Raw genomic sequence first — 25,827 nt, 5'->3', positions numbered from 1 at the left:
GTTTCTGTTGAACCCTTAGGAAAGAAGTCTAACATCATCTAGCGAGGGAGCAGGTACGGGAAGGTTGTCTGACCTCCATCCTCTCAGGGCTCCAAACTCAGTTTTTGTTTTTGTTTTTTTGAGACGGAGTTTCACTCTTGCTGTCCAGGCTGGAGTGCAATGGCTCGATCTTGGCTCACCCCAACCTCCACCTCCTGGGTTCAAGCCTCAGATTGAACCCTGCCTCAGCCTCCCAAGTAGCTGGGATTACAGGTGCCCACCACCATGCCTGGCTAATTTTTTTTAATTTTTTAATTTTTTATTTTTAGTAGAGACAGGGTTTCTCCATGTTGGTCAGGCTGGTCTCGAACTCCCGACCTCAGGTGATCTGCCCGCCTCGGCCTCCCAAAGTGCTGGGATTAGAGGCGTGAGCCACCGTGCCCGGCCAAACTTAGTTTTTAAGGCTTCTTTAGGGTCCCTTTGGCCAAGAGGGAGTCTGTTCAGCTGGATGGGGGGCTTAGGATTTTACTTTTATTTCTCATTCTTTGACTCCACCTCTTCCGCCCACACCCAGGCAGTCACCGGGTTCTGTGGGTTCTCCCTTGGGATTCCTTCTGGCCACCATTCCTCTACTACAACAACATCCCCTAGTGCCCCTTCCAGCCGGCACCCTCCACCCCTCCAGTGCACCAGTCAGTGCCTCACCCTTATCTTCAGAACACTTTCCTGGCATGCATAAGCCCTTGTTTATTTTATTTTATTTTTATTTTATGTTTGAGACGGAGTCTCACTCTTGTTGCCCAGCTGAAGTGCAGTGGCATGATCTCACCTCACTGCAACATCTGCCTCCTGGGTTCAAGGGATTCTCCTGCCTTAGCCTCTCTGGTAGCTGAAACTACAGGTGTGCGCCACCATGCCAGGCTAATTTTTGTATTTTTAGTAGAGATGGAGTTTCACCAGGTTGACTAGGCTGGTCTCAAACTCTTGACCTCACATGATCCACCGGCCTTGGCCTCCCAAAGTGCTGGGATTATAGGCATGAGTCACTGTGCCCAGCCCAGCCCTTGTTTAAAAGCAAACAAACCACAAAGCACTTCCCTAGCTTCCAGTTACCTTCAGGAAAAAATCTCAACCCCTCACCTGACTGACAGATTCTCCTCAACATGGCGCCACTCCTCATACCTTGTTTTCAGTGAACGTCACCACCTGGGTCTGCACTCACTTCCTACTCAGCCCTAGAGAGGTCCAGTTCAGGAATTCTGCCCCTGCCTGGAATGGCCTCTAGAGTCTGCCCCTTTCACTCAAGCTCCCTCCACCCCTGCCAGGAGACCCTCCTTGTCCACTCCAGCTCTCAGGGAAGGCTTCTTCTGAGCCCCAACAGCACTGGGCTGAGGTGGTCACACAGCCGCGTGGCAGAATGCAGCAGTCTTCATTGTGTGGTCTCTGGACCAGCAGTACTAATACCTGGGAACCTGTTAGAAATGCTCCTTCCTGGCTGGGCGCAGTGGCTCACGCCTGTAATCCCAGCACTTTGGGAGGCTGAGGTGGGCAGATCACCTGAGGTCAAGAGTTCGAGACCAGCCTGGCCAACATGGTGAAACCCCATCTCTACTAAAAATACAAAAATTAGCCGGGCATGGTGGCAGGCACCTGTAATCCCAGCTACTTGGGAGGCTGAGGCAGGAGAAACGCTAGAACCCGGGAGGCGGAGGTTGCAGTGAGCTGAGATCGCACCATTACACTCCAGCCTGGGCGACAAGAGTAAAACTCTGTCTCAAAAACAGAAAAAGAAAAAGAAATGCCCCTTCACAGGCCTCACCACAAACCTGCTGCATCAGACTCCCCAGAGGCGAAGCCTAGAAATCTGTCTTAATCTGCCTTGCAGGTGATCTTGGTGCCCACTCAAGTTTGAGAACCATCAGATAACAGCTAAGACTCCAGGCTGTTGAGTTTCCACTCTCCTTCATTCAGTGACAAAGTGAGACAGGGTATGGATGGGACTTGGCCCCCACCAGGATTCTACTAGACCTTGCATACCCCATCCAGTGCCATCCCCGCTGACCAAGAGACCTTGAAGAAGCTAAGGTTAGCAGCATTCCACCATCATCTTATTCAAGGAAGTTAACCCTATTGCCCGCATACGCACAAGTCCAGAATGACCCATCTTCACCCACTGGCTCATCGTAATACCAAAATTCCCACCCAGGTGGGGCTTATCTGCCATTTTTTGGGTTTTGTTTTGTTTCATAAACTTTTATTTTGCGTTCAAGGGCACAAGTGCAGGTTTGTTACACAGGTGAACTCGTGTCATGGGGGTGTGTTGTACAGATTATTTCATCACCCAGGTATTAAGCCTAGTACCCATTAGTTATCATTCCTGATCCTGTGCCTCCTCCCAGCCTCCTCCCTCCAATAGGCCCCAGTATGTGTTGTTCTCCTCTATGTGTCCATGTGTTCTCATCAGTTAGCTCCCCTTATAAGTGAGAACATGCAGTGTTTGCTTTTCTGTTCCTGTGTTAGTTTACCAAGGATAATGACCTCCAGCTCCATCCATGTCCCTGCAAAGGACATGATCTCGTTCTTTTTTATGGCTGCATATCTGCCATTTTTTGATCATGCAATATATGCCCTAACATGTTTTTCACTGTGCCTGTGCACTCTGTGCTCTACCCCACACGTGTAACGACGCTCCCATACCTCATGCTTGTTCACGTCACCCTTCTTCACTTTTTTTTTATTTTTTTTTGGGAGACGGCGTCTTGCTCTGTCACCCAGGCTGGAGTGCAGTGGTGCAATCTCAGCTCACTGCAACCTCCACCTCCTGGGTTCAAGCAATTCTCCTGCCTCAGCCTCCAGAGTAGCTGGGACTACAGATGCATGCCGCTACACCCAGCTAAATTTTTGCATTTTAGTAGAGATGAGGTTTCACTGTGTTGCCCGGGCTGGTCCCTAACTTCTGAGCTCAGGCAATCCACCCACATCGGCCTCCCACAGTGCTGGGATTACAGACGTGAGCCACCATGCCCTGCCCACCCTTCTTAAAACACCAAAAAGACCTGTCCTCGGGGAGCCAGCCGGAGAACTTTGCTCCAGCGCTCTCTCCCTTGTGTTCAAACATAAGCCCCTCACAAAGCCTTGTTTGGGAGATCTGTTTGGTCTTGTGTCAATTACCATTGCCTGGGAGCCTAAGCACTGTGGTCAGAAACCAAAGGCGCCGGGAATTCAGCTAGAAATCACTCAAGGTCACTCCCTGCCTGATTCTCACTCCCTGAGAAAAGCCGGTCATCTCGAAACACTGCCCTTGACCTTTTTCAGAAGAAGGAGCACAGGAAATGGAAGCACAGGAAATGGCCAATGACCAACAATTTTTGACCTAACTAAATGGTAATTTCCTCTGGTACAACCTAATATTAATAGCTCCATTATCTGGCAAAAGGTTGTAAGATAAAATCAGTTGTGTCTTAAGGATCTAAAAGGAAAAAGCTGCTCAGTCCCTGGTTGATGATATCCAAGAAGGGCGGACCAGGGACCAGTCCAGACTGCTAATCAGCTGTACTGCTACATCAGCTGTACTGGCATGGACACTGCTGAGCAGAAAGAGATGCTACTGGGGTTAAGCTTCACCCTAGGAGGCTAGGATCATTCTCCCTCAAGAACCCAGGGGCCTGTGCAGGGATGGTCATCAGGGAGGCATGTCCCAGACTCTGGATGGTTGAACTACGCTGGGCTAAGTTACAACAGCGCCACCACGTGGCAACCAGAAAAGCAAGACAGTCGAATTGATGGGACCCCACTCTTCCTATTGAAGAACTTTGGGGATGAGTAAACCCCATGTTCTAGCATAATTCAGAGGGAGGGAAGAGCCTCGAGGAGAAACAATGGACTTTCTACCTCTAAGGTAGATTACATCATGCTGCAAGCCTCAGTTTCCTCATCTGTAGAGTGGAGATGATGCCTGAGCAGAGGGACCATCTTTGGGAATATTCACACACGCATTCTGCCTATATTCTTCCCTCGCTCCATGCCCAGCAGGTGGCCACTGCAGGCCCTTCTGTGTTTTTTGCCTCTGGATTTTTCCAAGTAGAAAACAGAAAGAGTTGCAGGTCAATGCGTCTTCCCACCTTTTGTAAAAACTTACATCCTTTGAAGAGAAAATGCTGGTTGTCCAATGAGGCCAAGGGACAGATGCCTCAAGGCCAATGCGCCTGAGAGTGGAGAGAAAGGGCCCTGAACAGTGGGGAACCTCTGAGAGTCCCTCTCTACTTCCAGACCGTGTCCTCTGGTTCAGAGGGGAATGAGCAGGGAGGGTGCTCGAGGAAGCGGTCATGGGCTCCCAAAGCCTCGCCAAAGATTTCCTCCTGCCTACGGTTGTGGAGAAGCAGCACAGTCCCTCAGCCTGAGGGGCAGTGTGGTCACTGGCATCACAGGGAAGGTGCTGGGGTTGGGGAGGGAATGGATGATGGTCTCAATGCACCAGGCTCTGGAGAGAGAAGTCCCAAGGATGGCTGCCCTGGGTGATAATGGTTTGGCTGTGTCCCCACCCAAATCTCATCTTGAATTCCCACGTGTTGCGGGAGGGACCTGGGGGGGTGACTGAATCATGGGGGCTGGTCTTTCCCAAGCTGTTCTCATGATAGGGAGTGGGTCTCACGAGATCTGATGGTTTTAAAAACGGGAGTTTCCCTGCACAAGCTCTCTTCTCTTTACCTGCTGCTATCCACATAAGATGTGACTTGCTCCTCCTTGCCTTCCACCGTGATTGTGAGGCTTCCCCAGCCACGTGGAACTGTAAGTTCTTCATTAAGCCTCTTTTCTTTGTAAATTGCCCAGTCTTGGGTATATCTTTATCAGCAGTGTGAAAACGGACTAATACACTTGGCATACCCACCAGCCTGGCAGGTAAGGACTCAGGATCAGAACCGAATAGGTTTTAAAAAAAATGCAATGATCTATTGCACACACAGAGCATTTGGCATAGTGTCTGGAACCCATATGCAAAATGAATGATAAATGCTCTTTATCCTTGTTGGTGACGCCAAGGACAGGTGACTCACTGAAACCGCACACAGGAGCCCTGCTCCGTCAGGAGCGATGGACTCACTGTCAGCCCTTGCAGAGTAGGAGGGCCTGTTCCTTCTCGATAGATGGTTTCTGAGTTAGTACAGGGCCCTGCACTATAGACACACACACATTTATAGAGGAGAATCATGTTTTTAATTGTGAACAGGAAGCTGCTTTTTTGAGTGTGTTCTTGGAAGGCACCTGTTTGTTTTTTTTTTTTTTTTGAGGCGTAGTCTCACTCTGTCGCCCAGGCTGGAGCGCAGTGGTACGATCTCGGCTCACTGCAACCTCCACCTCCTGAGTTCAAGCGATTCTCCTGCCTCAGCCTCCTGGGTAGCTGGGACTACAGGCACACGCCACCACGCCTGGCTAATTTTTGTATTTTTAGTAGAGACGGGGCTTCACCATGTTGGCCAGGGTGGTCTGGATCTCCTGACCTCGTGATCCACCCACCTCGGCCTCCCAAAGTGCTGGGATTACGGGCACCTCTTTTATGCTCAATTTGCATGCCAACGAGAGGCAATTCTTCAAGGGAAAAATAATAATTGACTAAAGCTGGGGAACAAGCAACAAAAGACATTTGAGCTGCTGCTACTCTTCAGTCCAGCTGTGACACAGGCCTCGAGCAATTCCCAGGCCTCAGGAGATCCCAGGACCTCACCAAGAGGGAAAGAGAAGAGCTGGACCCTGGGCCTCAGCAGCCACAGTGGCTTCCCTTGTGTGGGATTCCAGAAAAGACAAATGCATTCACTAGTTTCATAGTCATCCAGAGCCAAGTCAGAGGTCTCATTAGAACCAAAGACTAAAACCTTTGTCCTGTGACCCTGATGAAAAATTCATGGAAATGGAACAGACACGGGGGTCTGGGGAAGTAGAGGAAGCACCATCTTTAGCAGAGAATAGAGATCAAAGGTGCTGTTTGAGGGATCATTCTGATTCCCTCAGCAAAAAACACTCTGCCCCATCTGATTGCCATTTCCCTAAAGAAATCCAAAGCTCCTGCCAAGATGCCCCAAGTACTTCCTCTGGAAAGCCACATAGCCCAAGCCACCCACTTCCATGCCCCAGGCATGAAAATTCCTGCCACCAGGGGTTGCTCTGACTTACCCAAAGCAAAAAAAAAAAAAAAAAAAAAAAAAAAGTCACTTTGAGTCTCAAGGTTTTGCAAAGCTATGAAGTAGCATGTGAGTCAAAGTTGCATTGTCTATGACAGGGGCCTATCATTCCATTTTGCATTTTTGTTCCACAGAGTTCCTGCTCATTTGCTTCCCTTAAGGCCTGTCATGATACACTCCTGAGAGCTGGGCTCCAATTTTGCAGGGTTTTTCTGACCAAATCCATGGCCTGTTTGCGAGTTGAACCCACGAGCAGTTATTAAGTGCCCCCAGCGTGCCTGGCCTGTGTCCATGCTGGACACCAGGTGCTCGAGTCTGCTGGACTACTGCTTGTATCCCCTAAAACTATGAGTGTGGGGCCAACATGGGGAGAGGCCCAGGAGAGAGCCCCGGCAGGGAGCCCTAGGGCCTGGCTGTGGCTCATAACAAGAGCCAGTGACCAGCCAGGCATGGTGGCTCACACCTATAATCCAGCACTTTGGGAAGCTGAGGCGGGTGGATCACCTGAGGTCAGGAGTTAGAGACCAGCCTGGCCAATATGGTGAAATCCCGTCTCTACTAAAAATACAAAAAATGGCTGGGCATGGTGGCGGGCTCCTGTAATCCCAGCTATTCGGAAAGCTGAAGCAGGAGAATCGCTTGAACCCACGAGGTAGAGGTTGCAATGAGCCGAGACCGTGCCACTGCACTCCAGCCTGGATGAGACTCCATCTCAAAAAAAAGGAAGTGACTGATGGGCCACCCCCGCACTGGCCACATCCCACTGCCACAGTTGGTTTCTGGGATTCATCCACCAGCCTCCCTGGGACAAAGGGCTTGGGTGGCTTTGGTAATTGTGTTCTCAGTCCTCTGTTTCATGGTCCAGTGCCCGCAATGGCCACCACACTGAGTTACAGACTCCACTTAGCCACGGATTAGACACTGATAAACCCCTGGGAACCCTTGATGTTTTCCATTTTAAGTTCTGACAATGAAGATACTCTGGAGTGTGGCTGGAATGGAAGTCTATAATTACTAATTTCATCTTTGGGCAGGCAATCAGGATGAATTTTTCAATCATGCAGGCCTAGCCAGTCACAGAGAGGTCTGTGAACCACTGCTTGGAACATCTCACCACTGAGGACGATACCATGTGTCTAAGGGTCCAGTTTCCAAAGCAAATGGGGCAAAGCTAATGCTGGAGCAGGCAATGAGCGGGGCAGTCCTTGGGCTGCATCAGTCCTCCAGAGCTGGCCTCCTACCTGGACGCGTCTCTGTGGTCAGGGCTTCCGGGCGTGTCCTGCTGCTTCCTTTTTATATTCTGACTGTTCCCGGGTGGCTGCGCGGACCTTGGAGTCTGAGCTGATAAAGTCCTCTGAGCCAGGAGAAAAAGAAATTGGAAAGGAAATCAGATAGGAGTCTCTGAAAACACAAAAACATTTATCAACAGGGCACCCACCACAGCATTCAAGGTAAGGTTGTTCACTTGCTCTGCCGTCCAACGAAACACCTACTATGTGCGGCACTGAGCTAGGCCTTGAGGATATATGGCAGCGAAGCAAAGGTGGCTGCTGCTCTCATCCAGTGGGGAAGAAACAAAGTCAAACAAGCAGTTCCAACTGAATGCTTTAGTAGAAAAACCAAAACTGGGGACACCTACCACACTTTGGGGTCACTTGCTCCCTAGGAGAAGTGGAGCATTTAAACTAAGACTTGAAAGTGTCCAATTTGTTTGTGGCACTCCTGAGATGAAAACACATTTTCCTCCCGCCACCACCGATGGCTTCACATACCAGAATTCAGCTGGAAACCTAGGGAAAAAAACTAACCGGAAGAAGAAAACCATGAACGCTTAGAAATCTGGACCCAACCACTTGGGATCCTAACCACTCTGAGAGTTGGTCACCTTTTCTTTCACTCCAGGATAAGCTTGTCCACCGGTTAGTTGATTTGTTGTTGTTGTTTTTATAAACCATATTCCTACAGACTAGTTGATTTTTAAAACCAGGATGCAAAAATATAAGGCTCAGTCAAAACTTTAAATCACAGGACAGAGATGAGATTTAAAATTAAAAAAAAAAAACAGAACCTCATTTAAATGATGCTATTTTAGTATAATATAAAAATCAGAAGAAGGGAAAGGGCTTTTGTAAGCTCCAAGCTGTATTTCCCAAAGCAGTGGTTGTCTTTCATTTTGTTTCCCCAGCGGCGACCCTGTGCCCCCACCCCAAACAACATGCACCCCTTGTTCTGGGATGGGGTCTGCCTTCTTTCAAGAACAGTTCCACCCATACCCTCCATCCCTGAGGTTCTCATGGAAAATGCCAGTCATAGTGCCCCATGTCCCTGCCCACTGGAGTGTACATGAGACTCCGGTCAAGCCAGGACCTTCTACGGGATTCCCTGAAGAACCAGGGCAGTTCTGGTGGGGGGTTCTATAGAAGGTGAGTCGGGAAGTCACCTGCAGCCTTGTTTCCAGCTGTGGTGGACGAAACCGCCACAGAAAGAGATGGCAGAGCTCGCAGGCAGAGAAAAGCCGAGATGCCAGGCAGAGGGAGCAGCCCTGCTGGGGCCAAGGCCTCATTCTGCCCTAGCCATCTGGGAGCTCTATGATGAGGCCGCATGCATTGCCCTTTTCACCTTAGCAGGTGGGTACAAGCTGAATTTCTGTCACTAGCAACTGAGAGTGCATTCCCCGGTCCACCTCTCATCCAGATGAGCTGCACCAGATCAGCTTGGAGGAAAACAAAGTACTCCCTGGTCAAACACCTTTGACAAGTGCTACATAATATAGGCCTCCTTTAGAAATTCACAATGCACATTAGCATAGTAAAAATTCTGAGTTCTACAGCAGAATAACTTACTGAATTTTAACTCAGAGTTTGCCAGAATTTCTTGACCACAGGACTCTTTGTTTATGTACCACAGTTTAACATCTTATAGAACTCGCGTTACATGGAACACACATTTGAAGACAGCACAAGAGCTCATTTCTTTCTACCTTGCTTAAATCTAGCAGATGGTGCAAATCTGTACGACAGACATTCCCTAGCCCATGGGCACCTTTGTGAAAATCAGAAGGTGGCACTCTTCTGGGCCAAATGCATGGCCTGGGAGCAGACAATGCCATTGTGTGAATTAGAAACTGCCTCCCCAGCCGGGTGCGGTGGCTCATGCCTGCAATCCCAGCACTTTGGGAAGGCGAGGTGGGAAGACTGCTTGAGCCCAGGAGTTCGAGACCAGCCTGGGCAACATGGAGAAACCCATCTCTACAAAACAGAAACAGAAACAAATAGGGGAAAGGAAAAGAAAGGAAGAGGGAGAGAGGGAAGGAGAGAGGGTAGGAGGGAAAGAAGGGAGGGAGGGAGGGAGGGAGGAAGCAAGGAGGGAAGGAAGGGAGGGAGGGAGGAAGGAAGGAAAGGGAGGAGAAAAAAAAAATAAGGCTCCATTCCTCCTCTCACGTTGCTCACAGTCTAGGGAGACAGACCCCAGTCCCATGGCTGCAGGGGTGTGCACACAGAGGGCACCCCAGGAAGATAGTAGGTATGGCTCCTGCCTGGAGGTGAAGCAGACAGCCCCCAAGGTCCCCCAGGAAGGGAGGGTCCCCACTCATCAAACTCTACCAACCTCTAGCCTATGGATTTTGTAAATTAATCTTGACGTTTCTGCAGGACATGTGAAAGCAAATCATCTGCCTAGTCTGCACCTGGGGACTTCTTGAGACCGTCAGACTTGTTGGATGGGCTGTAGTCCTTGACCTTCAGACACCAGCCCGAAGAGCAAGCTAGCTTTGGCTAAGGTTCCCCTACCTGGTGCATTTCCCTGAGTGGTTGGCTATCTGTGTTCATCCCATTGTGTCCAAAGGTAAAACATAAAAGATGCTTCATCTCTCAGGTACCCATACAGTCTAGTGCCAACATGAACACTACAATGCAAAAATTTTCCTTCATTTTAGCTGAAGGATAGAATGTGGGGGAAAGAGAACAACAGCAATAAATGCTCCTGTTATTGAGCACTTACTAATGCCAGGCACTGGGCCAGTATCTTTCCATGAACTATGTCATTGAATTTGCACAACTGTCTTAAGGGAAAGATGGATATTTGTGTTCCTGTTTTAGAGCTGAGGCTCTGAGAGGTTTAGTAACTGGGCCAAGACCACACAGCAGTGGAATCTAGACATAACCGATTATCTCTGATCCCAGAGCCAGGACAGGGCGTCTCTGTTTGATCCCTTCCACGGGGCAGTGTTGAAGGAGGCAGAAAGAGCTGGGGATGGTTCCTCACACGAGAGGGGGCTGCTGACCTGGGGTTGGCTTGACCTCCCTGCAGGCTGAGCCATTCCCTTAACGAGTGCCCCTGCCCCCCCCTGAGGGGTCTCAGCCTCTTCATCTGTGCATCCAAGAAGACAATCATCCCCATAGGACATTATCAAGACCATGGAAACTTTAAATCACCTTAAGTTCACACTCTATAATCTTCATTTTCAAAGAAAGATTCTTTTTTTTTTTTTTTTTTTTTTTTTTTGAGACGGAGTCTCGCTCTGTTGCCCAGGCTGGAGTTTGGTGGCACCATCTCGGATCGCTGCAACCTGTGCTTCCCGGATTCAAGCGATTCTCCTGCCTCAGCCTCCTAAGTAGCTGGGACTACAGGTGCCCACCACCACACCCGGCTAATTTTTGTATTTTTAGTAGAGACGGGGTTTCACCATATTGGCCAGGCTAGTCTCGAACTCCTGACCTTGTGATCTGCCCGCCTCAGCCTCCCAAAGTGCTGGAATTACAGGTGCCACCACACCCGGCCAAGATTCTTTATCTATAAATTATAAATCTTTGGAAGCATGATTCTCACATTTTACTATAATAACTCAAGATTAACAATACTGAGTGAGTGGCATTTTTATATCAGGGTCCTGCATTTTTGAAATTTTAACCCAATTCCTACTTGTCTGACCGCCATGCAAACCTCAGCAACTAACACCTGAGGCCAGGCCCCCCTTTCAATCACAAGATGACCTGCAGTAAAATATTCTGCAAATAATTTAACAGATAAATCTCATGCCCAGTATTCCATGAGCAAGATTTCTTTTAATTCTGGAAAGAAGACAAATAATAGCCCAGACAGATGCAAACAACAGATGGAATAAGGAGACAGATCTTTGCTCCAAGTCCAGGAGAAGAAAGGGACCACGGGCTATATTTCCTCAGGCAGATGGACTATAACAAGGGCTTGGATTTGTCTTTGAAGAAAAAAACAAAAGGCAGGCGTCTCTCCCTTTTCAGCTCCACTTCTCTTTCTTTTTTTCTTTTTTTAATTATTATTTATTTTTATTATTATATTTTGAGACAGAGTCTCACTCTGTCACCCAGGCTGGAGTGCAGTGGCGAGATCTTGGCTCACTGTAAGCTCCGCCTCCTGGGTTCAAGTGATTATCCGGCCTCAGCCTCCCGAGCAGCTGGGACTACAGGCGCCCACCACCACGCCCGGCTAATTTTTTGTATTTTTAGTAGAGACGGGGTTTCACCGTGTTAGCCAGGATGGTCTCAATCTCCTGGCCTCGAGATCCACCCGCCTCGGCCTCCCAAAGTGCTGGGATTACAGGCGTGAGCCACCACACCCAGCCCTATTATTATGATTTTTGAGATGGAGTTTTGCTCTTGTTGCCCAGGCTGGAGTGCAATGGCGTGATCTCAGCTCACTGCAACCTCCGCTTCCCGGGTTCAAGCAATTCTCCTGCCTCAGCCTCCCGAACAGCTGGGACTACAGGCATGCACCACCACACCCAGCTAATTTTGTATTTTTTTTTAGTAGAGATGGGGGTCTCACCATGTTGGCAGGCTGGTCTCGATCTCCTGACTCGTGATCCATGCGCCTTGGCCTCCCAAAGTGCCGGGATTACAGGCATGAGCCATGGCACCCGGCCCACTTCTTTTTCTAATAGAAAGCTAATCTGCAAGAATGATACTAGTTCTCCCCAACACAAACATATCTGGATGGAGTTAAAAGCAACAAAACTATCTGTATGAATGGCACATTGCACTTTTCAAAGCTCTTTGACATCCATTTGATTCTTATAAAATCCCCGTGAGCTATACCAGGCAGGTAAAATCATGTTTTCCATTTTCCAGATAAGAAACAGAGAGGCTTGCCTTCTGCCCTCTGCAAGTCTCCCACCTTGAAGTCCAGTGCTCTTTCCACAAGAATACTGACACCCAGCATTTACATAGCTCTCTTTCTGCTACGACAGCAGCAACCTAATTATTAGGAACACTTTCTGTGTGTCTAGTACTGCTCTTTTAAGTGCTTTACATATTTAAACTCATTCAATCCTTAGAGCCCGATGTTATAGCTAAGAATACTGGGCACAGAGAGGTTAAGCCACTTGCCCAAGATCACACAGCTTGGAAGTGGTGGAGCCAGGATTTGGACCAGGATGGTTTGGCTCCAGAGTCTGTGCTCTTGTCCCTGCCTTACGCTGCTTCGCCATACAGTGGAATTCGTTGCTCTATGGCCTCTGCCATTTTGCTGCTATGCTCCAAGGAATTATAGCAATTGGACATTTGAGAATAATGTGGTATAGGAGCCTAGATTTGATGCCCAGAATAGCACCTGGCACAGAAGAGGCAGTCCATAAATATTTGTTGAATGTATGAAAAGTAGATTATTCTTATTTAGTCTGGTGGCCATGTCTGCAAATCGAAAGACGTACCCTCAGCCCTGGGAACTCTCGCTTTTGCCACATTTCCCTGTGCTTTTGAATCCCCCTTCCTGTTCCCCGTCTTAGAGATAGTCTTAAGCTCTATTGCTTACTGGATTCCAAAGGACCTGTGTGTCAGCAGGCGTCACTGCAAAACAGCATGCATTTCTAAAGTTACCCTTTACACTTCCAAATCGCAGGCTGGAAAAACAATTGGCAAGCCTTACAGGACACGTGGACTCGCCCAGTTGCTTCTTCAAATCTTTCCCTCGCTGCCATTGCTTGAGTAAACAAACAGTCTTTCGTTGGCTCTGGAACACTCCAGAGCCTGGAGTCTATTTTAAAGCAATCTTTAAACAGTTACAGCAATTTTCCAGTCCTAAAAAATATACTTTGTAAAGAGCTAAAGCATTTCACCATAAAAAAAAAAAAAAAATTCCACTTACCTCTTAAACGCTCCATCACTCTAGACCACTGCTTACTGGTCATGCCAATAGAGTTAATTAAACCATGCTTAATTAACATGGTTAGATCATGACCAGAGTGTCTGCCTAAGTCGCCCCCTCTTTGAACGAGCTCCTTGGGAGCAGCTTGACTGCAGGTGAATGCTGGGAAGCAGACCAAAGGTCATCCCCATGGCATTAGGAATCGGATTTCAGAAACAACTGCCAGGCTGACCAAATATGGAGGATGAACACATGCTCTGTGCTAGAGCCAGCCGGCTGCCCATCTTCCCTGTCAAGGGAAGGCAAATGCTCACACCAGTTCTGCTAGACCATCCCAAATGTTTCTTCCCCTCCAAGGGGGTACAAAAGATTGACGAATACAGGTTGCAGAGGACACCTCAGCCTAACCTAGCAGGCACTCTGTCAGGCCAACAAGCGAAAGGCTGCCAGCGTGGGATTTCAGCTTTCCGCAAACGGAATGTTTTCTGATGTGATACAGCACGATAGAGCAGAAGAAATGAATAAGCTTCGAAGCCCGAGAGAGCTGGGTTTGAGTCCTCACTCTTCCTTTAAAAGATGGAAAATAACAGAATAGAGTTTGACGTGTGTTTTGATGATTATGCCTCATGAATAGTAAGGGCTGGGTCTAGGTTCTGGGTAGACACTGATGACTAAAACAGGCATGGTGTAAAATGTTAACTTTAGGAGAAGCCGGGGAAGCATCTATATGGGAGCTCTCCATACAATCTTTGCAACTTTTCTATAAATCTGAAAATACTCTAAAGTAAAATTTGGCCAGGCACAGTGGCTCATGCCTGTAATCCCAGCACTTTGGGAGGCCGAGGCGGGCAGATCACTTGCGGTCAGGAGTTCGAACCCAGGCTGGCCAACATGGCGAAACCTCATCTCTACTAAAAGTACAAAAATTAGCCAGGTGTGGTGGTGGGCACCTGTAGTCCCAGCTACTCAGGAGGCTGAAACACAAGAATCACTTGAACCTGGGAGGTGGAGGTTGCAGTAAGCCAAGATTGTGCACTGCACTTCAGTCTGGCAACAGAGTGAGACTCTGTAAGAAAGAAAGAAAGGAAGAAAGGAAGAAAGAAAGAGAGAGAGAGAGACAGAGAGACAGAGAGAGAGAGAAAGAAAGAAAAGAAAGAAAAAGAAAGAGAAAAAGAAAGAAAGAAAAAGAAAGAGAAAAAGAAAGAAAGAAAGAGAAAGAAAGAAAGAAAGAAATCTAATTATAAAAAGAGACACATGGTTCCTACTACCCTCATGGAATTTTGAATTTAGTGAATGAATGAGTGATATTTAGTAAATCATATCTGCCTTCCCTTCCTCAGAAGCATTTGGGTCACAAGCGGTGGCCATTACCCTAAAAGGATTCAGGAACCTCAAAGATGTAAGAGGTGACATGTTCTGATGTCTGTAGTTTGTAGGTGGCAGACTAAAGGCTTCAAAAACATACCCAATGTTGATGACCTGTATGTATTTAATATTTTAGAAACAATATGATTTAAAGAGAATTGGATGAGGTCAGAAAATCCAAATCCATGTGCCCTTGGTCAGATCAGTTCCTCTCTCCAAGCCTCTCTCTCTCCGTCAATAAACTGGGGACCACAATCTCTGCCCTTCCCTACCTCAGTGGGTGATAGGAATGCCTTGTAAACAACAACTGTACAAATAAAAGGGAGAGTCTCTTTATTCAAAGAGCTGGGCATGTCAGGATGGCCTGTACCATGCTGTGATGTTTACTTGATTATACTTAAAGTGCAGACATAAACTTTATTTCTTTTGCCCCTCTAGAATCCCTGTATCCACTCATTTTCATGCTACAGCAGCATGGTTTAAGAATGAGCAGGCAGGAAGCTGAGTACAATTGTTCTGAAACCCAAGCTTTACTGCTTATTTAGCTGTAAGTCTCTGGGTTCTACACCTCGAGTACCGTATCTGTAGAATGGGGGTCATAACTGCAGGGTTGTTCTGAAGGTTAAATAAAGGACAAGGCTAGACCACGTAGACATTGTACATGCTGGTTGTTACTGTATAAAGAAGAAACAGATTCAAAACTCATTAATGAAGAGCCCCATTGGCTATCTCAGCTTAGAGCAAAAGCAGTTAATCAGAAGTTCAGGCTGGGTGCAGTGGCTCAAGCATGTAATTCCAGAACTTTGGGAGGCTGAGGCGGGTGGATCACTTGAGGTCAGGAGTTCGAGACCAGCCTGGCCAACATGGTGAAACCCCATCTCTACTAAAAATAGAAAAATTAGCTGGGCATGGTGGCAGGGACCTGTAATCCCAGCTACTTGGGAGGCTGAGGCAGGAGAATCGCTTGACCCCGGGAGGCAGAGGTTGCAGTGAGCTGAGACTGTGCCACTGAACTCCAGCCTGGGCGACAGAGTGAGACTCTCTCTCAAAAAGAAGAAGAAAAGGCCATGTGCAGTGGCTTACGCCTGTAATCCCAGCACTTTGGAAGGCTGAGATGGGCAGATCACGAGGTCAGGAGATTGAGACCATCCTGGCTAACACGGTGAAACCCCGTCTCTACTAAAAATACAAAAAGTTAGCCGGGCGTGGTCGCGGGCGCCTGTGGTCCCAGCTACTCGGGAGGCTGAGGCAGAAGAATGGCGTGAACCTGGGAGGTGGAGCTTGCAGTGAGCCGAGATCGCGCCACTGCACTCCAGCCTGGGTGACAGAGCGAGACTCCGTCTCAAAAAAGAAAAGAAAAAAGAAAAGAACAGCTCCTCCCAAAGTTAACATTTTACACATTTATTCAGAAGATGCATCTGGCCAAAACCTGGAGCCGTGTTGTTCACACACTTGCGTAATCGTGCCAGTGAAAACTAGCACCGACCCTCCGGGCTGGGGGAACCCCACAGCAGGGGCTGTGGGAGCAGACAGGTGACAGTAAAGAAACTCTCTGCTGTCAAGGCCGGGTGCTGTGGCTACACCTGTAATCCTAGCACTTTGGGAGGCCAAGGTGGGTGGGTTACCTGAACTCAGGAGTTCGAGCCTGGCCTGGGCAACACGGTGAAACCCTGTCTCCACTAAAATACAAAAAAGTAGCCAGGCATGGCGGTGTGCACCTGTAATCCCAGCTACTCAGGAGGCTGAAACAGGAGAACTGCTTGAACCCAGGAGGCGGAGATTGTAGTGAGCCGAGATCGCGCCATTGCATTCCAGCCTGGGTGACAAAGCAGGACTCTGTCTCGTTACGAGAAAAAAAAAAAAAAAGAAAGGAAACTCTGTGCTGTCATGAAGATTGAATTAATTCTTGCTGCTTAACTTGTTCTTTGCTCAACTTCTTTCACATTAAACACATTAAAGCAGCCCAGATGCCCACCTGCAGCCTGTGGAATATTGGGAAATGCTCCCTGTCCTGCACTGGCTGAGTGTTGCTGTAATGCTGAGTTCCTCAAGAGCTAAAGAAGGGACCTTCAAGTTAACCGTAGAGCACCAAGCATAGCTTTAAACAAGATGTGCACATATATATGGCACTTTCCTCTGTCAAGCAAAGTAACAACCACACAGCGCCTGAGCAACATACAACCTCAGCCTTTCTTGATGACCAGACCCTGGGGACGGCTCGCATACACAGATTCTCCTGTCCTCCTGGTCCTCTGTTCCTCAGATGTCCACATTGCTGAGGTCTCCTGCAGCAGCAAACCTCATTCAGACCACATCTTGTACGCAGAGCAGGGACCCGACCCGGGGGGACCTGCCCAAGCTGGGGGAGGCGTGTCTGCTGAGCTGGCTCTGGGTCCTTCTGATGTCACCTACTTCCTGCTCATTTGCAGCTCTGAGCTCAAACATCAGCTCCCCAGAAGCGCCTTCCTTGACACCCAGGCTAGGTCTGGGGTCTGTGCACCTGTCTTCTTGCTTCATAGCATTGATCACAGTTTCTAGAGTTGAAAATTATGTTTTTTGGGACTTGTTACAGAAACACCCAGACAATAGAAGTGTTAGAATGGAGTTACTGAATGATGATATGTTTTAAGTGAGATCATTATAATAATAGGATTGAATGTCTTTTCTTCCTCCCCACACGGTCAGAGCTATAAATGGGAATCATGACAGCCCCATGGCCAAGCGGAACTCCAGAGAGTGGTAATGGAGGGGTTAGGGTTGCCCTTCCCTTCTGAAATCCACATGCTTGGAGCTTGGAGCTCAGATGTCCCCTGTAGGGCTCTCCAGAACTGAACAACTGTGAAGCCCACCTTCAGGATTTGGGGCTGTGGGCTGGCATGGCCCTTATTTCACCACAGAGCTTTCTAAACAAGTCAGGATGCATGAAACCCCTGGAAGGGCTGTCGAGTGGAGACAGCTCTCATCACAGCGTCACCACCACCTCTTTCCCAGAGAGGGACACACATAAGCCAGGACCCTGACACTCCCGGGAACAGGTGATGCCCCCCTTGGCTGGGTGTTAGACAGTCTCCCAACTTCCCATTGGACCGTGTCCTCCCACTCCCCAAACGAGTCACCCTTTAGAGCCGTGGTTATACATTTCTCTTCATTTCCAACCATCAGGTGGTGCAATACATCACCTGTGCAAGTGTACTTTAGTAACCGAGGCTGCTTAGAGCCCCCTGAGAACAGCCTCCCAGGAGGCCTAAGTGAGTCCATTCCCAAAGGAAGGAGCAAGGGTAACAACTAGGACTCAGCTTGCTGCAAAAGGCACCCACAAGGGGCTGGGCTGAGGCTCCATGGCCCCAGCTCAGTAAGAGGAACCTCCAATTAGCAGATAGAAGAGGTTTCAGGCTGAGTGTGGGAATTTTCCTCTGTCGATGGCTTCTCTTCCCTCAGGAACAGAGAACAGAACCCAAAGCTACCACTAAAATTCAGAGTTTCAATAGCATTTGTGCTGACAAAACAAGAAATCACTGTGACTGGTTGGCAGGATAGGAAGGTAAGACTGTTGTGATGTTATTAAAATTGACTACTTGAATAAGATAAATCAGTTTGTAATTAATGCAGCAATTAATTGTTTTCAAAAAGTGTCAAAAGCAAATACTGTCGAAATAAACTGCCGGCTCACTGCCTAGAGGCTCCGAGGAGAGGTCCTGTTGTGCTTACCTCCCTGCCTCCCTCATCTGCCTGAAGGCCCAGTCCTCCCAGGCACTTGTTGTCCCCCAACCCCACATCTCAGGCCGCCCCAGACCCTGCTGCCTCATCTGACCTTGTCTCCACCCCCACCTTCCAATTCCCACGCCTTTTTCTGCACTCAGATCAGCAGCCTGAACCCTCATATCCCAGGATCATCACGGAACAGACCCTTAACCTTCCCACCTTACCCATGCCAGCTGCCCTCTGAGAACCTACCAGGTTCCAACCCTCTCAAGGGGAGGCTGATTTTCCTTCCACAAGCCCAGAAGATCATGGTTTCAAAATAGAGTCAGGAGGCCAGCACGGTGGCTCACACCTGTAATCCCAGTACTTTGGGAGGCCAAGGTGAACAGATCACCTCAGGTCAGGAGTTCGAGACCAGGATGGCCAACATGGTGAAACCCCATCTCTACTAAAAATACAAAACTTAGCCAGGCATGGTGGCACCTGCCTGTAATCCCAGCTACTCCGGAGGCTGAGGCAGGGGAATCATTTGAACCCAGGAGGCAGAGGTTACAGTGAGCCAAGATTGTGCCACTGCACTCCAGCCTGGCTGACAGAGTGAGACTCCGTCTCAAAACAAAACAGAAAAAAAGCAAAAAACACATGAGTCAGGAACCTTGTGTCCCCCGCCAATGTTCTTTCTAAGCCATTTCACTTCCCCCACCTGCAAAACTCAATGTCCCTTTAATGCAATGATGCTGTAACTGAGTATCCCATTTTTCTAAGAGAAAGAAAATGGTTTTAATTATTTTTTTTCTTTTCTCTCTCCTTCTTTTCTCATGTTCCTCACTTCCTACTTAGCGCTTTAGAAATGCAATTATAACCTTATAACCTTGACCTTCCCTTCACCAGACACTCCCTATAGGACAAGCTTATCTGACTCTGTGCTCACTTAGAAGCTCCAGAGCCAGAAAGCTCTCCCAGCAGGAGATTGCCTCAAGAAACAACTGTCAATTTCCAACCTCAAGTACGCCCACGACGGAAGTCTTTCCCACCTGGAGAGCGTCTCAAGACAACGACCACCTTAGAACCTAGTTTTGTGCCAGCTGGACCACCTGGTGGATAAGGCACTGAAGTGAGTCCAGTGGTCCCCCACCTACTCACTCCCTCCCCACCTGCTGTGCATGCAAAGTCCCCCCTTTAAAAGTCCCTGCTTTCTGCCCCAAAAGCAAAGCAGTGCCCTTAAAAGCAGAAGCCTGTACTTTTCCCCCTAAGCTAAGCTTTAGAATAAAAAGTCACTTTTTTCATGTCAGCCCTCACTCGTTTTTTGGTTTGTGTGTTTGTTTATTTGTTTTTTGAGACAAGGTCTCACTCTTGTCACCCAGGCTGGAGTGCAGTGGCGCCATCTTGGCTCACTGCAACCTCTGCCCCCTCTCCCCCAAGGGCTTAAGTGATCCTTCCACCTCAGCCTCCCAAATAGCTGGGACCACAGGTGCACACCACCACACCCTGCTAATTTTTTGTATTTTTAGTAGAGACAGGGGTCTCGCCATGTTGCACTGGCTAGTCTCAAACTCCTGTAGCTCTTGTTAATTGGACTGTACAAGTGGTGAGTGACTGAAGCTTTGGTTTGGTTACAGTGCTACTGAGTGCACTCCTTTTATTCTCTGAGGTATCTCCTACAAAAACAAACAAACAAACAAACAAACAAACAAAAACCAACAAAAAGCCTCACCTGGGAGCCTCTGGCCTCCCAGGCTTCTTGCTCTCTATTATCCCAGGACCTCAGCCCCATCCAGAATAATGAGCCAAACACTGCTAAGGGGCTCTGCCCCTTGATCATTGTGTACAAGAGAAAGACTCAGGCGCCGTGACTGTTGAGGTGCAAAGAATAACCCAATACCCTGAGCTTGAAGCAGAGGAGATTTACTCACACGGATGGGTATACATGAGGGACTGCAGCCCCTGCAAAGGCTCAAAGACCATCTCTCTGAACAAGCCACAGGGACTCAACAAAGCAAAAGCCAGGGAGTTTTACAAGGAAATGTGGTTGGTTGGTTTTAACCAGTCCTTCGCTTGTCAGTTTCCAATTGGCCGGTTATGGGGAGCTCAGTCTGGCTGAGTGCTGAGTCTCAAGTCCGCTGAGCCCAGACAGAGCTGGGCACAAGTTCACCGTCAGCTGCTCTGCTTCCTCCTTGGGGAGCCCTGACTGCTGGAGTCTCACCCCCATGGTGAGTGAGCATACAGGCTCAAATCCCAGTGAAATGCTCTTTTATCACCATGGCTTTGTACCACAGGTAGAAGAAAGCCAGACTTCTTACCAGGGCTGGTTGGGACCTACAAAACTGAGCCCTCACCCAGCTCCCTGGCTGCACAGCTCACCATAATTTGCCTCACCCACTTTTCTCCAGCCACACCGGCCTTCTTTGCTGATCTTAAAGTACAGCAAGCTCATTTCTCCCATACCTGTTACACTATTCCTATACCATACACACCTGTTACCTTATTCCAGAATGTTCCTTTTCCAGAACCTTATGTGGCTGTCTCCTTAGTACACCAGGTCTCTACAGAGAGCTGTCCCCTGCACTTCATCAAAAATAGCCCCGACCACAATGACACTACTTCACACCTACAAGCATGACTGTAATTTAAAAAACAAACAAACAAACAAAAAACAAAGTAACAAGTATTGGTGAGGATGTAGAGAAATTGGAACATTAGTATATTGCTAGTGGAAATGTAAAATGGTGCAGCTGCTGTGGAAAAGTTTAGTGGTTCCTCAAAAACTTAAACATAGAATTATTGTATGATCTACCAATTCCACTTCTAGGTATATACCCAAAAGAATAGAAAGCAGAGGCTCAGATACTTACGTGGACACCCATATTCATCACAGCATTATTCACTATAGTCAAAAGGTGGAAGCAACTCAACTGTCCATCTACCAAAAATACAAAAATTAGCCGGGTGTGATGGTGCACGCCTGTAATCCCAGCTACTCGGGAGGCTGAGGCATGAGAATCACTTGAACTTGGGAGATGGAGGTTGCAATGAGCCGAGATCTCAGCCACTGCACTCCAGCCTGGGTAACAGAGCGAGACTCTGTCTTAAAAAAAAAAAAAAAAAGAATGGATTGCCAGGCACGGTGGCGCATGCCTGTAATCCCAGCACTTTGCGAGGCCAAGGTGGGCGGATCACGAGGTCAGGAGATCGAGACCATCCTGGCTAACACGGTGAAACTCTGTCTCTACTAAAAAATACAAAAAATTAGCCGGGCGTGGTGGCAGGCACCTGTAGTCCCAGCTACTCGGGAGGCTGAGGCAGGAGAATGGCGTGAATCCAGGAGGCAGAGCTTGCAGTGAGCCGAGATTGCGCCACTGCACTCCATCCTGGGTGACAGAGCGAGACTCCGTCTCAAAAAAAAAAAAAAAGAATGGATTAGCAAAATGTGGTCTATACACACAATGGAATATCATTCGGCCTTATAGAGAAAGGAAATTCTGACATGCAGCAACATGGGTGAACCTTGAGGGCATTACGCTTTAGTGAAATAACCCAGTCACAGAAGTGAAATAATAATCACATACAAATACTGTATGATTCCACTTACATGAGGTACCTACAGTAGTTTAATTCACAGAGACAAAGCAGCCAGCTGCAGTAGCGCATGCCTATAATCCTAGCTACTAGGGAGGCTGAGGAGGGAGGACTGATTGAGCCCAGGAATTCAAGGTTGCAGTGAACTATGATTGCACTACTGCACTCCATCCTCAGCGACAGAATAAGACCCAGTCAGAAGGAAGGAAGGAGGGAAAGAGGAAAGGAAGGAGAGAAGGAAAGAAAAGGTTATCAAGGGTTGGGGAGAGGGAGAATGTGGAATGTGGGCAGAGAGTTTCAGTTTGAGAAGATGAAAAAGTTCTGGAGATGGATGGCGGTGATGGTTGCACTGCAATGTACTTAATTCCACTGAACGGTCCACTTAAAAATAGTTACAATGGTAAATCTTATGTTATATATATTTTACTGCAATAATAAAAAAATAAATAGCCCCTCCGACCATGGTTACCATTGGAAATTTTATGATGTGTCTTTTGCCTGTTAGCGCCTCATAAGGAAGCTTCATTCGAGCAGATCACAGCTGAATTGTTCACTGCTGATTCTCACGTGCTAGAGCAATGCCTGGTAAACAATACACATTTAATAAAGATTCAAATGTATTTACTCACTGATGTCTGTTTACTCACTTGCTTATCTGACTCCTCAATTGGCTGTAAGTTCCAGACAGCAGGGCCCTTGTTTGTCTTGCTTCTCTACAGATCACAGCACCTAAATAAGTACCAGATGCCCAGCAGGGAGGGGCTTCCCAAATGTCCACCAAGCCAATAAAAAACCATATCCACGTCACATCACGACGTGGGAGCTTGTGACTGAGGTCTTGAGCTCTGCTGCAAAGCACGATGGAAGACCTCTGTGAGATAGAACCGGACAAAGTGCTCTTCCCCTAACAGGGACACCCGTAGGAGCCTGGACTAGGATCCCCCAAGATGGCTTCTTGTCTCCAACCTGCCACTGACTTATGGCAGTGAGCAAGTTCCTTGTCCTTCAGATCCACCATACACAAAACTGAAAAATAATGGAGGTGGACCAGATCAGTGTTTCTTTCCAACTCTGATTCCAAAACTTTTTTTTTTTTTTTTTTGAGATGGAGTCTCACTCTATCGCCCAGGCTGGAATGCAGTGGCACGATCTTGGCTCACTGCAACCTCTGCCTCCCAGGTTCAAGCGATTCTCCTGCCTCAGCCTCCTGTGTAGCTGGGATTAAGCGTGCACCACCACGCCCGGCTAATTTTTGTATTTTTAGTAAAGACGGGGTTTCACCATGTTGGTCAGGCTGGTCTCAAACTCCTGACCCTGTGATCCACCCACCTCGGCCTCCCAAAGTGCTGAGATTACAGGCGTGAGCCACTGCGCCCGGCCCCAAAACATTTTCTTCTAAGAGCCATCTTGCAGTATAAGGCTGTATAGGGTAAGTTGTGCTGATGGAAGGTCAGGGTGCAGGGAACTGGATTCTCCTCTCTCCACTTCCTCTTTTTCTGGGCTGATCCAGGAAGCATTGCTGTTGGCTCCAGGATTTCCCACAACCCAGTTTGGAAATGACTGGCCAGCAACCTTAGTGACCCAGGGTTCTAGTTCTCACTCCTCCACTCACCCAAATGACCTGGGATGATTATCCTTCCGAGCCTACTTCTGAGTCTATAAAACATGAGTCATCAGCCCAGCTCATGGAATAATGAAGAGAAGCAGATGAACTCATGTATGAAAAGGCTTCACAATGCTCTATGCAAATGGTTATTTCACAATCTTAAACATCACTCCTTGCTGGGATATGCAGAGAAACAAATGCATCAAGTGCACCACCCACCTAACAGCCATCCTCCGGGGCAGAGCAGCTCTTTTTTTTTTTTTTTTTTTTTTGAGACAGAGTCTCACTCTGTCACCCAGGCTGGAGTGCAGTGGCACAGTCTCGGCTCACTGCAACCTCTGCTTCCTGGATTCAAGCAATTCTCCAGCCTCAGCCTCCTGAGTAACTGGGATTACAGGTGTGCGCCACCACGCCTAGCTAATTTTTGTATTTTTAGTAGAGACGGGGTTTTACCATGTTGGTCAGGCTGGTCTCGAACTCCTGACCTCAAGTGATCTGCCCTCCTCAGCTTCCCAAAGTGCTGGGATTACAGGCATGAGCCCCCGCACTTGGCCCACTCTTTTTTAAAAGCCCACTTCACCTGGATGACTGCCACGCCTGGCCAGGTGTGAAGGGGACTTCAGAGCAGGCTAGTGAGGAGCCAGGGGTTTTAGAGCCTCACCCTGACCACACCCCTAAACACACACTAACCTCAACGTCCTCTCCAGGAAAAAGCACTGTGAGGTGACGCAAAGTTCCTTATTTACCCTCTTCCCCAGTGGATGGCAAACACTTTGGGCAGAGCCACAGCAGCGGAACTCAGCTAGCACATTGTTGCATGACACTGACAGCTGATTCAGAATTTAATCTTCTTTTACAACAAATCAGTTTTGCTCACAGGCGGCAAAGGTAGGGTCACCACCCCATTCCCAGCTTCACTTGCAGACAAAGGAAATCAAAGTAGAAGAGTTTGGAGGGGTTAGTATTGGCTCCCAGCATCTACGTTCCTTTCTGCTGGCAACATAAGCCTTATTCAGCATTGCAGAACATACCAACCAAGCCAGTTCTTGGACAGGCACACTAAAATACTATCCTAAAAAATCTAAACATAAATTGTCGATTTCGACTGTGTTTTACAACTTATTTGGGGTGGATGGAAGAAGCAATGGAAGAGGGAGGAGGAGAAAACCTAAATATATAAATGCACATGACACACCAAATGTTTGCAACCATCTAGACGTTAGGAAGGGGCTGAGAGGGAAGCCATGCAGAACAGCACATTCCCCAGTACCTGTGTGGGCTCAGGGTTTGGAGGCCACAGAATGACGTTATGCAAGACGGAGTCCTCCTGCTGAAATGCAAAGGGATCTCACCGTTAGGACAGGTCGCAGGGAACAGGACCAGATGGACAATCTTTGGTGTTTTTGTGGGGTTTTTTTGTTTTTGTTGTTGTTGTTGTTGTTGTTGTTGTTTTGTTGTTTTGTTGAGACAGAGTCTTGCTGTGTCTGCCCAGGCTGGACTGCAGTGGTGCAGTCTCAGCTCACTACAAACTGCGCCTGCCAGGTTCAAGCGATTCTCCTATCTCAGCCTCCCAAGTTGCTGGGATTACAGGTGCATGCCACCACGCCCGGCTAATTTTTGTATTTTTAGTAGAGATGGGGTTTCACCATGTTGGCCAGGAAGGTTTTGAACTCCTGACCTCAGGTGATCACCCACCTCGGTCTCCCAAAGTGCTGGGATTGCAGGCGTGAGCCACCGTGCCTGGCCATGGTTTTTACTCCCAGGCCAAATCCATGAGGCATGCACCCATGCTGCCCATGGTGTCCCAGAAATGAGACAACAGAGAGAGAGAAGAGGAACCAGAAGCCCGAAGGTGTATGAAGTACACAAGGGCCAGGACTGGGCAGGCCTGTCCCTTACCCTTTGCCCTAGTGACACAGCTGCTCCTCAATGCCTGGTCTTTAATCTGTGAACAGGAGGTTTCTTCAGACTTGCATCTTTCCTTCCAAACGTTCCCTAGCAAGCAGGATTCAGGGACCTCCAAGTGCACTCACAGTCAAGAGTCTCCTGAGGTGCTAGGGGCCTGGGTGCGACGGGGAGTGTGCTCACTGGGACAGAGATAGCAGTTTGGAGGTGTTCCCAGTGATCCAGGTGTGAGAGGGTAGAGTTGTGACAGCAGGGATGGGGAGCAGAAAAACTGTTAGAAAAGACCATGTCATAGATACGTGCTGCCTTTACGTCCTTTGAGAAACTGCTTCAAGTGATATTGAAGGGGCTGGTATACAGCTGGGCCCATCTTGGCCCTGTTGAGGCGGGTGCATGACT

General features: G+C 48.3%; 1 protein-coding gene across 48 annotated transcripts in view, besides 1 other annotated feature; it reads right to left on the bottom strand.

The window, feature by feature from the left end:
* Positions 1–25,827, bottom strand: part of TACC2 (transforming acidic coiled-coil containing protein 2) — a 265,380-nt gene that overhangs the window by 196,596 nt on the left and 42,957 nt on the right. For 31 of the 48 annotated variants that reach the window (XM_024447756.1, XM_005269390.1, XM_017015485.1 and 28 more), the window contains exons 3-4: positions 24,794–24,853; positions 7,397–7,509 (exon numbers count right to left, since the gene is read on the bottom strand). In XM_024447756.1, the coding sequence (XP_024303524.1) occupies positions 7,397–7,509; positions 24,794–24,853 (173 nt within the window). The remainder of the gene's footprint in view (positions 1–7,396; positions 7,510–24,793; positions 24,854–25,827) is intronic. The other 17 variants (NM_001291877.2, NM_206862.4, NM_001438366.1 and 14 more) reach the window with 2 other exon arrangements.
* Positions 2,939–3,233: an enhancer, noted in NCBI's record as "tiled region #10515; HepG2 Activating DNase matched - State 5:Enh". NCBI's record gives its function as "activates a minimal TATA promoter and a strong SV40 promoter by Sharpr-MPRA in HepG2 cells {active_cell/tissue: HepG2}" and the evidence as "EXISTENCE:reporter gene assay evidence [ECO:0000049][PMID:27701403]".

This window comes from Homo sapiens, chromosome 10, assembly GCF_000001405.40.
Source record: "Homo sapiens chromosome 10, GRCh38.p14 Primary Assembly".
Lineage (NCBI taxonomy): Eukaryota > Metazoa > Chordata > Mammalia > Primates > Hominidae > Homo > Homo sapiens.
Note: the sequence above shows the minus strand (reverse complement) of the source record. Positions and strands in the feature narration are given on the sequence as shown.